Source organism: Homo sapiens, chromosome 2, assembly GCF_000001405.40.
Source record: "Homo sapiens chromosome 2, GRCh38.p14 Primary Assembly".
Lineage (NCBI taxonomy): Eukaryota > Metazoa > Chordata > Mammalia > Primates > Hominidae > Homo > Homo sapiens.
The window spans coordinates 198,298,989-198,311,884 of NC_000002.12; the positions used below are offsets into that span (position 1 = coordinate 198,298,989).

Here is a 12,896-nt window from a genome sequence, read left to right on the forward strand (position 1 = left end):
AATTAACTGTAAAACAGCATCAGGTGTGTCCTTCAGGGGGTATTCCAAAAGAAGGCATTGTTATCACAGATGACAGTTCTTGCATGTTATTGCCCCTGAAGACCTTCCAGTGGGAGAAGATATGGAGGGGAAAGACAGTGATGTTGATGATCCTGACCCTCTGTAGGCCTAGGCTAATGTGTGTTTGAGTCTTAGTTTTTGATAAAAAATTTTGAAAAGTTAAAAGAATTAAAAATAGAAATGAGCTCATAAAATAAAAATAAAGAGAGAAAATATTTTTGTACACTTAGACAATTCATTTGTATTTCAGGCTAAGTATTATTATAACAGTCAGAAAATTTTAAAAATTAAAAGGTTTGTCAAGTAAAAATGTTACAGTAAGCTAAGGGTAATTTATTATTGAAGAAAGAAAACAATTTTAAAATAGATTTAGGGTAACCTAAGTGTACAGTGTTTATAAAGTCTACAGTAGGGTACAGTGATGTCCAAGGGCCTCACATTCACTCATCATTTACTCACTGACTCACCCAGAGTAACTTCCAACCTGCAAGCTTTATTTATGGTAAGCAACCTATACAGGCACACCATGTTTTATCTCTTATACAGTATTTTTACTGTACCTTTTCTATGGTTAGCTATGTTTAGATACACAAATACTTACCATTGTTTTACAATTGCCTACAGTATTCAGTACAGTAACAGGTTGTACAGGTTTGTAATCTACCAGCAACAAGTTATACTATATAGCCTAGGTGTGTTGTAGGCTATACCGTCTAGGTGTGTGTAAGTACACTATGATGTTCACACAATGATAACAGTGCCTAATGACACATTTCTCAGAAGGTATGCCCACTGCTCAGTGATTCATGACTGTATATATATGCGTACACACACACACACACATACACACACACACACACATATATATATATGAATTTCTAGATCTATATAGAAATTGGCTAATGCATGATTATGGAGGCTGAGAAGTCCCAAGACCAGCAGTTGCAAGCTGGAAACCTGGGAGAGTCAATGTATAGTTCAGTCTGGAAGCCAGCAGACTCAGGATACAAGATGAGCTGATTTTCAGTTTGAGTCGGAAGGCAGAAAAAGAACAATGTTCCAGCACCAGAAGTCAGGCAGCTTGAGATCACCGTATTTTGGGGGAGGTTCAGCCTTTTTGTTCTATGTAGGGCTTCCACAGGTTGGATGAGGGACACCCCCACTGGGGAGGGCGGTCTTCTTTACTCAGTCTACTGATTCAATGTTAATCTCATCCAGAAACATCCTCACAGACATATAAAAAAAAATTTGACAAATGTCTACACATCCTGTGGCCTAGTCAAGCTGACATATAAAATCACCTGTCACAGTAGTGTCTACCAGATTTGTCTTCTACAGGTGCTGTTTCCCTGGGGGAATGAATGAGGATTCCGTGTGTGATATTCTGTGACTGTGTCAATGTCCTGCTCCCCAGCATTTTATCCAATGGAGTCATAGAGCTTAAACTGCTAAAAGGTGCTAGAAAGTGCTTGGGTTAGTTGAAAAGAGATAAATAACTTCCTTTAATGTTAAGAACTTCCTACAGAGTCCAGTTCAAGGTCAAGATCCAGACTGGAAGGCTAAGGGTCAGAGAGCGATATGAATCTGACAGAGTGACAGTCTTGAGCCAGGCAAGGGCAGGCATGTGGCTCTCCCGACTGGTGGCCCATGCTCATGGAAACCCAGATTTGAGGAAAAACTGTGGGAACTTTCAGGTTGCTCTTCAAACTCTCCCCAGAGCAAGGGTGCCAGGGCTCCTGAAGAGAAGGTAGGAGAGGGTGGTTACTTAGCTCAGCAGGAGTCTGAGATGGTGAATGTAGCCCTGGCTTCAGCTTGGAGAACTCTGGGACAGTTCCAGGGGAAAGGACTGTCACTCTGCTGCATAGTGACATCTTGTTTTGCAAATAAGTGCATTAAAGGGACTGGTTCTGGGCTTTCCATCTCTGTCACTGTATGCATGGAGCCTGGGAGGTGGGACAGATCTGTGGCAGGAGAACAGGGGCCAGGAACCATCTCCTTGTCCTGTCCTATTCATCCTCAGAACTATAATGGACCCCAACAGAGTAACCCGCCTTTGCAGAGGAACGAACTGTCTGAGCACTAGAAGACTCTTTTTTTTTTTTTGAAAGAAGCTTTTTTCCAGAATTCCTCCTCTCAAATAAACTTTGTTGTTGTTACTGCTGCTGTTTTAAGACACTATATAGGATTTTTAGCGAATCAGTGTCACTCACACTTCACGTTACGGCCTTCTGAATGTCTATTTCATCTTAGGTGATTTACATATCCTTTTTTCCCCCTTACTACCTCACATCCACTACTGTACCTTCCAGTTGCCTCCAATTTTTCGGCATTTTATACATTTAAAATAGAAATGTCACACCTTTTATTTTATCCTCACAATAACAAGGAGATATTGTTGCCAGTTTATTTTCTGTAAACTGAGGCAAAAACAAGTAAAATAACTCATTGAAAATTCCAGAGCAACAGCCCAGTTTTCCTGAACATCTGTCTTGTGAGAGGCACCCACAGCTGTGTCTCTGAGGGGCATCTTCATATTTTGCAGACTAGAAACTTCCATTATTGTCCTTTACTTAGGCTCAACAGGACTCAAGTTACTTTTCTAAGCAATATCTTTTTCTTTTCTTTTTTTTTTTTTTGAGACAGACTCTTGCTCTGTCACCCAGGCTGGAGTTCAGTGGCATGATCTTGGTTCACTGCAACCTCCGCCTCCTGGATTCAAGCAATTCTTGTGTCTCAGCCTCCCAAGTAGCAGGGATCACAGTTTTGACCTGGGAAGTATTGGAAATAGAATACATATAAATAATTATTTTAGTATGCCAGTTGTTCTTAATGTAAAATATTTGGCTCCTTTTTTGAACCAACTTGGTTCTACAGGCAAAGAAGAACCAGATTATTGATTTCTCAAGTCATCCCTTTGTTAGTGTTTGCTGGAGTTACCTGGAAAAAACTTGCATTTAATTCCCTCTTTGCCATTTCCTTGAATGTCCAGGCATGCACCTCACACCTGGCTAATTTTTGTGTATTTTTAGTAGAGATGGAGTTCTGCCATGTTGGCCAGGCTGGTCTTGAACTCCTGGTCTCAAGCAATCCACCTGCCTCGGCCTCCCAAAGTGCTGGGATTGCAGGCATAAGCCACCGCACCTGGCCAGCCATGTCTTTTCATGTTGATACATTGAAAAGTTTGCTCAGCTCTGCCTTCTAAAAGAAACTACAAAAGCCGTTGCTATGTCCTTCCCTATTTATGTTTTAAAAAGTTTTGACCTGGGAAGTATTGGAAATAGAATTAGGGGGAAGATCCATCCCAGGCTACCTTGTACATAAACTGATGTACAAGAAGTTCAAGCTAATTTACGAGAAACTTTACCTAGGAAAAGGGAATGAAATGTATAAAAATAAGTTATACTTAAAAAAATAAGTAAAGATTACAACTTTGCATAGTTTTAGAATGAGCAAAGATAGATTCTTCTCCATGAAATGGCCTTTTGAGTGTGGAAGGGTATACGAGATCACTTGTATAATACTTCATTAATCTTAATTATTAATCAAATGACTAGCATTTTAAAAAATAAGCAATTATACTAAATTTTAACATACTACTTATGGAATTTACTTTAAAAAGAAATTTTCCCCCAACATGTAAATAATACTTGTACATATAAACACTCTTAAACAATTAAAATCACAAGTTTAGGGCTGGGCACAGTGGCTCACGCCTGTAATCCCAGCACTTTGGGAGGCCAAGGTGGGTGGATCACTTGAGGTCAGGAGTTCAAGACTAGCCTGGTAAACATGGTGAAACCCCATCTCTACTAAAAATACAAAATTAGCCAGGTGTGGTGGCGGGCACCTGTAATCACAGCTACTTGGGAGGCTGAGGCAGGAGAATCACTTGAACCCGGGATGTGGAGGTTGCAAAGCCAAGATCACACCACTGCACTCCAGCCTGGGTGACAGAGCATGGCCCCATCTAAGAAAAAAAAAATCACAAGTTTAACAGATCAGATTACCTTACAAAGATTAAAAATCTTTCAAAACAGACCAAACACAAACTAACCAGGGTTCTAAAAGTGCTCAACACACTTACCACTAGAACAATTAAGCAGACAGTTTTATCCTTATCTTGATTTTCACCACAATGTTTATCCTCATTTTCATTTATTCCTGAGGTTGCCTCCTTAGGCTTTCAGTAAGCAATACATTTACTAACCCAAAGTAAAAAGAGATGTGGCCTCAGACCAGTAGAAGTTACAAGATTTGGCTGTCCAGTTCAAAACTCTTGGGTGGGTGTGAGACCTGCTTATTTAGTTCAGGAGCTTCAAGCCTGCACACTGATCATTAGGTTGAGTGTCTATTAATAATCAGGGCTTTCTTGTTATGTCTTCAGCCCTCATCGGGGATATAGGCTTTAATTTTTTGAAACTAGATGTCTTCCCCAGAAATAAGGTATCCTTCCAGCTTCACATGGTCCAGTACATAGCCATCGTCCTAACATTATGATTCACTGAGCTACTTTTTTTTAGCATCATTAGACGTGTGTGTTCCTTATTAGTATATTATAAGAATTTGTGGGTTATCTAAAGGTTTTGGCTCCTAGGAGATGAGGAAGTCAGTCTGCTTTATGAGCCCTCCTCTTTGGACCCTCTTTCTGTTTTGTCATTTGCAGCACATTGTTGAGCCTTCTTTCTACTTGGTCATTTTGTGTGACCATCAGAGGTTAAATGTGGGTCCGCTGGTTATTATACAAGACCAGAATATTGATCAGCCCTTCCTGTTCTTGATAGAGTTCCTTCTATTTCTGTGTTAGTTCAGCTCACTCCCAATTATTCTGTCCATTCTTCTTTTCTACTTACCCTGAACATATATATTATATACACACATATTTATAAACTAATATAGCAGCAAAATTTGTGCATATAATTCATATATGCATATGTATGTACATTGGTATACATATAGGCATATATACATCCCTTACCTCATGAAATAATGACAAACATAAATCCTGTTTTCATTCTTCTTTTGTATTATAAGTTTCCTTTTTTTTACTATTTCTTTTAGCTTTTCTCCTTTGACTTTGATTTTGAACTCAATCTTTCATAGATCAAATCATTCCAATTACCTAATACTATTTTTATTTTATACCTAACACTAATTTTATTTTTATTTAATTATAATGTAACAATAATAATTATTTAATATTTGAATTATCACAACTTTTCCATGAGAATTCCCTTAAGTCAGATCCTTTGATTTTTTAATCATTGTCACTATATTTTTCACATTATCCTCATTTTCTGGTACCTGCAGGATGTTCCCAACCCATTCTGAGTGTTTTCCTTTCGCTTACCAATTCTGAGTTTCCCCTCCCCACCACCTCCTCAGCCATCAGCCTTGCTGGCACAGGCTCTCCGTGATCACACCTGGGGCCCTAGGCAGTCCCTCTCTGCAGCTGTCTGTTTAGACACCTCCAGGGCAGGATATGGAATGGCTTTGCCTGCAATTCCAGCAGATCCACCAACGTCACTTTCACTGGCACCGTGAAAGCCTGCATCTTTTGCAAGACTTATATCAATTTGCAGCATGTAGCACTATACTGTTCAACATTTCCAACAGCAGACTATCTGGGGAAAAATTAATGAACAAAGCCTTGGCTTTATGTGGGGATGGACCCAGCCAGGAGCACTCCTGGAGTGGGGACTAATTTTTATAAGTTGTCAGATTACTAGTAAACACTTAATGTTATGGTGATTTTTGCTTTCCTAAACAATCTGGCATCTTCAGGAAGTCACACAATGAATGCTGGGTTAACAAAGATCTATTATACTAAATAAATCTAGTGCGCTAAATTTCAAGACTTTTAACCTAACCCAGCACTTAAAATCTAAGATTAATAATCAAGTAGAGTGGGCATTGGGAAGGCGTGAGCCACATTCCTGGGATCTTCTTTCTGAGACTGGGTATTGCCCAGGCTGTGAAAATAGGCAGACTCATGACCTGGGGCTTTCCTGTTCACACCTCAGCTCTTCCTGCTGGTGCTCAGCCTTTACTGGAGAAGGTAACTCGGTCTTTTCATCTTTTGAAGAACATGAGCACCCAGTAAGATGTCAGCAATACACATTATCAGGTTCTTTTTGCCTTCTGGTATCGGACCAGACCTGATGTGAGCTATTATACAGAGACCTTAGTGTAAGGACATCTCCCTTGGTAGTAAGCGCTGGGCTTTGATGATCTGAAGAAAAACTGAGCTGCGTCCCAGTTCTAGAGTTCCTAGAGAGAGCACACTCCCTCTCTGGAGATTCTATTTTTCCTGTAACTCATGGCAAAGTGGTCCCCTGTGGATTTTTTCTTTGCCAAGCTTCTCCCAACTCCACATCCCATTGGTTTTGCCCTAATTGTTATTTATTTAAGATAAAAGAAAATGTAATCCTTATGCACCATATTCCATAAATTTAACTAATAAAAATGTTGTTTTGTAAGAGCCTTTTGAAGTCCAAGTAAACTTTGGAATCATTTTTATGAGACTTTAAAAATCTTTCTTCTTAGGGGCAGGAAGTTATATTTTGCCAAGAATAAATGAACTCAAATAGCAAAGGGATTGGGCTTGACATGAGGTGCCAAACCCACAGTGTTTCAGTGGCTTCTGAGCTGGGCCAAGTGCGTTTTCCCAGTCCTGAGAGTCAGGACTGGTATCTAAAGTTTCAGACTAACATGTTATTACTTATAAATAATTATTTTAGTATGCCAGTTGTTCTTAATGTAAAACGTTTGGCTCCATTTTTGAACCAACTTGATTCTATAGGCAAAGAAGAACCAGATTATTGATTTCTCAAGTCATCCCTTTGTTAGTGTTTGCTGGAGTTACCTGGAAAAAACCTGCATTTAATTCCCTCTTTGCCATTTCCTTGAATGTTCTTACCTTCTTCATTCATAGTAATTTAAGATAATGTAATTTTTTTCCATGCCCACATTCTAAAACATTTTTAGGAGTGTTTCCAAAAAGAGAAGTGATGATAAAACAATATAATTAATGTTGGAAGCCATGAAAAATTCATAGACACTTCAAAGAGAGGATCAAGTTGTGTCATATGAGGGCTTATCATTCCCAAAGAAGCTTTTATGAAAGATGAATATGAAGCTGGGCGTGGTGGCTCACGCTTGTAATCCCAGCACTTTGGGAGGCTGAGGCGAGCGGATCACAAGGTCAGGAGATCGAGACCATCCTGGCTAACATGGTGAAATACTGTCTCTACTAAAAATACAAAAAATTAGCTGGGCATGGTGGCGGGTGCCTGTAGTCCCTGCTACTCAGGAAGCTGAGGTAGGAGAATCCCTTGAGCCAAGATTGTGCCACTGCACTCCAGCCTGGTTGACAGAGCAAGACTCCATCTCAAAAAACAAAACAAACTAAACTAAAAACAAACACACAAAAAAAGATGAGTATGAAAATTAATTAATAGCAAGTTCAGTTGTCATTTTAAGACAAGTTATTGATTTAAAAACAAAAATATTTCACCCGCCACCCTCTTCTCCACTTGCCGGCTCTTCGCCCATCAACAGAAGGTTTTCCAATTGTATCTTCTCGTTCACTGTCTCTTCCTGCTACCTCTGAACTTCTGTCACACATTCTATTTCAGTCTTGCTTATGGCTGCTGTTATCATCACCATTATTTTGTGCTACCACTTCCCAGGTTCTCCGTTACTCCAGATCTTTCTCTCAAAAACTCAGGCCTGATGGCCTCTGTTTTTCTTGAGTTCACTTCCTCTGTCAGTCCAGGATATCCTGTCTTCTTTCTTATCCCCTAATTCCAGCCCTACACACTCCCCAGGCACAGCCTTCCTGTGACCCTTGTCCCAGCCAGGCAGGCACCAGATCATTAACTTTAGATTTTCTGACCACTCCTCAAGGAAAGATGGAAGATCTTTTCCTTGGCTCCAGCTAGGGATGTGAACAGACACCTTCCCCACCCCCTGCAGCCCTCTCACTAATAGGTAGTCAGGATGGCAGCTTGCACCTAGGCATCTGGTGAATTCAATTCACTTCTCTCAAGTAATCACTCTGCAAGGGCCCACTGTGTGCCAGGCACTGGGCCATGTGCTTGGTAGGCAAAGATGAATCAACTAGGGGCTGATTATTATCACAGGATGCAATGCAAAGCAGCCTCCTGGAAGAGGCAGTGGTGAATTCTGCTGTGAGGGGTTGGCTGGGAAGGCTTTCAGACGCAGCAATGCTTGTACTGGATTTGCATGAGAAGGAGAAGAGAAGACAAGAGGAGACCATTCCAAGAAGCGGTAGCCACTTCTGTAAAGGCGTGTAGTAGTACACAATGGGGGTGTGGTTGAGGAAATACAAGTAATTATGTTTTAAAAGAATGACAGTGACAAAGGGGAGGCATAGTGACAGCCACCCAAAGGTTTAAGGGAGTGATGTGATTTGATTCCTCTGGCGAGAAGGTGGTGGTTGCACTGGGGAGAAGGGTGTGGGGAGGACTGGAATAAGGCTGACCAGAGAGGACACTGTCATAGGCAAAGGAGGTCACAGGCTAGAGAGTGACAGTAGAGAGGGGAGGAGGGGCAGATTCAGTGTAATGAGGGGTGCATGACCCACCTGGTACCTTGCAGTGAGGTTAGGGTGAGGCAAGCTCCTGCGGAATTAGAAAATCTCAGGCCATAGTTTCATTCAGGCCTGGAGAAGGTTGTAACATCTTAATCCTCAACTAATTCCCGCTTTGCCAGAACGCTATAACCTATTTATAAAAGTACCCTTGTCAAGGATACTTTTGACCTTGTTCTATGAGAAATACACACATGCATCCATATATATGCATACAGAGTATGTGTAAGATATATATATAAATATAAATATATATAATATTTATAAAACATATGGATTACGTATGCCAGGGTTCTCCAGAGAAACAAAGCCAAAAGGATGTGTGTGTGAGTGTGTGTGTTGTGTATGTGTGTGGAGAGAAAGAGAGTGTGTGTAAGAAATATTTATTATAAGGAATTGGCTCATGCCGTTATGAATATTGGCATTTTCAAAATCTGCTGTAGAATTCAGGCCTTCAACTGATTAAATAAGACTCGGCCACATTATGGAGGTTAATCTGCTTCATTCAAAGTTTATTTAAAAAAAAAAACCTTTGCAGCTACATTTAGACTAATGTTTGACCAAACAAATGGGCACTGTGGCCTAACCAGGTTGATACAAAATCACAGACACTTTGCTTTACCTTCTTCCCATGTTCCCCCACAAAAAGGTGAATTCTGGCTTTGTGTTTGTAATTTTGTACTTATCTGCAACTTTAGACTAATTCTCAGAGTCTGAAAGAATAAAGATGTTTTCTAAGAATAAAAGCATTATTTGTATATTTGCTTCTAACCCTATATTAAATATCTAAACTGCATTAATTCATTAAATGCATCTTTTTACTCATACCCTTTTCTTTAAGTATTTCTTATGTGCTATCCCATTAACAATGGATACAGTAAGAATTATCCCTGTTTTGCTGGTGATGATCTGTCCAAGGTCCCTGGCTGGTGCACACTTTGCTGTCAAACGTTCTTGTTCTACCTCACAGCAGCTTTTGCTGATTCCAGCGTAAAGTTGCTTCTGTTTGTTCTCAACAGTTGTCCATCTCGCTGATGACTTATGAGGTATTTATTTTGCCTTGCATCTTTTGGAAACTTCTGAAATAGTCCTTATTTGTCAGTTTGCCAGTCCCTTGCCTACGGAGTAAATTTTAATGAATTTACTTGGGGAATTTAATGATGCCTTTATTTTTAAATTTTTTAATTTTTCTTGAGACACAGGGTCTCACTCTGTTGCCCAGGTTGGAGTGCAGTGGCACAATCATGACTCACTGCAGCCTTGACCTGGGCTCAAGCCATCCTCCCACCTTAGCCTCCCAAAGTGCTGTATTACAGGCATGAGCCACCACGCCTGGCCCTAATTATGCCTTCAGGAGAAATAAAGCCCATGCCCCAGATGAACATGGTTATTTATCTGAATACAGTATAAATGTAAATTGGGTGGTTAGATTTTGATGAATGGTATTTGAACTAAATGTTAGTAATGAGAAATAGGGATAGGCCCAGATGATTTGTGATATAGATGCCAATTCATATTTTATGATATCTATACAAAACAAGGAAATAACCAAGGTGGATGCCTTATTAGATCAGAATTGGGGAAATTAACTTTAACACGCAATGTGACCTTTGTACTGTAATCACCAATGTACTAAGCTAATCTGCATGAAGTCATGTTTTGGGAATTTGCTTATATTTATTCATCTTTTTGGTGGAAATAGCAATGATGGTATTAACAATTGGTATCTCAAACAAAACTGTACAGATATAGTCATGGCAGAGAACATGCTTTATGGTTTGATTTGTAAAAATGTTTTACATAATATTTTTCAGTGGAAATCTGAGTTAAAAATTAATTTTTAAAGGATACCTAAGGGACCTACATTTTAGAACTAAAATGCTGAAGGATCAACAAATAAATATGAATACCTATTAACTATAAAAGCAAGAGAAAAAACTTTTCTCTATAATAATCTACAGAAAAAAGCTCAAATATTCAGGAAGTCAAATGGGTATAGAAATGTTTACTTAAAATTTGAAACCTTATAATATATATTTTAACCAAATAGTATTTTTACAATTGGTATAATTTATGTAGACAAAGGAGAGATTGATTTCTATCGAGTGCTCGCTTGCATTTTTGAGGGATTGAATTAGAGATGCCGTGGGGTGAATGGCTCGCAAATTCCACGAAAAAAACCTATCCCAAAATGGACACAAGAGGGCGCCAAAGATGCAGTAGCTGATGGAGATTTAATGGACGAATACTCTGGCACTTACAAATGAAGCCATGTTTATTTTATTCTGGGTAATATATTATGCACCTGCTTGTTTTATTTTTTAGACTGATTCGTGTCAAATGACTTTCCAGAAATATGACATGTGTACTGGATCCAGGCAGAACTAATCTTTCAATGTAGAAGTAGTACTATTTTGTACAAACTATATTCCATGATATAATGAAGTTTTACTTTATTGTACTCACTCTAAAGAGAATTAAGAGAATGTAACAAGATGGCACATACTTTTTCAAGCATTTTGTCTCTGTAACTCACTAGGAAACAGTTTTTGATTATGGGATATTTACCACACACACACACACACACACACACACACACATACCCATACATACAAATTCCTTTGTTACAGGAAAAGAGTAGTGAGTTTTTGTCTAGAGGATTCAGGGACTAATTTAGGGCTGAGACTTCCAGAAAAAAGAGGACACAAAATGATAACTGAAGGAACTAGAGTTTGCCGTGCATGAGGAAGAACTAAGTCATTTTGGTCCTATAAATGTTTGGCTTATATGTTATTTTGCTAGGGCTGCTATAAAGAAATACTTTTGTCATCACAAAATAAGCCAAAATGGGTGGCTTAAACAATGCTATTTAAATAAATAGCATTTATCTTCCCACAGTTCTGGAGGCCAGAAGTGCAAGATCAAGGTGTCAGCAAGATTGGTTTCTCTTGAGGCCGCTCTCCGTGGCTTGTAGATGCCCATCTTCTTATGATACCCTCACGTGGTCTTTTCTCAGTGCGCACGGAATCCTGGCATGTCTTCACATGTCCAAATTTCCTCCTCTTATGAGGACACCAGGGAGATTGAATAAGGGCCTACCCTAAAGGCCTTATTTTAACTTAAACACTTCTTTAAAGGCTCTAACTCAGTGGTCTCCAACCTTTTTGGCACCAGGGACTGGTTCTGTGGCAGAAAATTTTTCCACAAATGGGTGGGGTGGGAGGGGATGGTTTGGGGATGATTCAAGCATATTACATTTATTGTGCACTTTATTTCTATTATTACATTGTAATATATAAAGAAATAATTATACAACTCACCATAACATAGAATCAGTGGGAGCCCTGAGCTTGTTTTCCTGCAAGTAGATGGTCCCATCTGGGGGGTGATGGGAGACAGTGACAGATCATCAGTCATTAGATTCTCAAAAGGAGCACACAACCTGGATCCCTCACATGCGCAGTTCACAATAGGGTTGGCACTCCTCTGAGAATCTAATGCTGCTGCTGATCTGACAGGAGGAGGAGCTCAGGCGGTAATGCAAACAATGGGGAGCCGCTGTAAATACAGATGACACTTTGCTAGCTGCTCACCTCCTGTTGTGCAGCTCGGTTCCTAACTGGCCACACACTGGTACTGGTCTGTGGTAGGGAGGGGTGGGAAGTGGTTTAGGGACCCCTGCTTTATCTCCACATATGGTCTTATTCTTAGATAATGAAGGTTAGCGCTTCAACAGATACATTTTGGGGAGACACAGTCCAATCCATAACATCTTGGTTCCTTGCTTGTGTAAGTTTAGAATGGTGGAGGGCAATGGGCTCTCTCTCTTTCTGAGTTTACTGACCAGCTTTCAGTGAAACAAGCTCTGTGCCCTGCACACATCAGGTACTCAATATACATTTGTTGAGTGGGTGAATTTCTGCCTGGAAAAGTGACACATTTTACTTTGCTTAGCCTTGCCTGATATCTTCAGCTGCCTGACAGGTAATAATTAACTGTTGAAAGAAAGGCATAAATACTTCCTTTTAAACATTGACATTATGTCCATCTGGTGAAAGAAAAGGATAGAAGCAAATAAAGAGAGTTCAGGAAATGCTAAAATTTCTTTGAAATAATTTCATTGAAAATTAACAAGTTGATTATTGTGAAAACAGATTCCAATTTACACATAATGGCCAATCATCTAGTTTTCCTGGCCTCTGATGAAACCCTTCCTACCTAGAGT

At 39.6% G+C, this 12,896-nt stretch overlaps 1 long non-coding RNA gene across 1 annotated transcript in view, besides 1 other annotated feature; it reads right to left on the bottom strand.

Moving 5' to 3' along the window:
* Positions 1–374: 374 nt before the first annotated feature.
* LINC01923 (long intergenic non-protein coding RNA 1923) overlaps positions 375–12,896 on the bottom strand; it is a 75,735-nt gene continuing 63,213 nt past the window's right edge. Inside the window, exon 3 of the long non-coding RNA NR_110267.1 lies at positions 375–2,828. This is a non-coding gene — a long non-coding RNA (long intergenic non-protein coding RNA 1923). The remainder of the gene's footprint in view (positions 2,829–12,896) is intronic.
* Positions 10,717–11,011: a silencer, noted in NCBI's record as "tiled region #7560; HepG2 Repressive non-DNase unmatched - State 12:CtcfO". NCBI's record gives its function as "represses a minimal TATA promoter and a strong SV40 promoter by Sharpr-MPRA in HepG2 cells {active_cell/tissue: HepG2}" and the evidence as "EXISTENCE:reporter gene assay evidence [ECO:0000049][PMID:27701403]".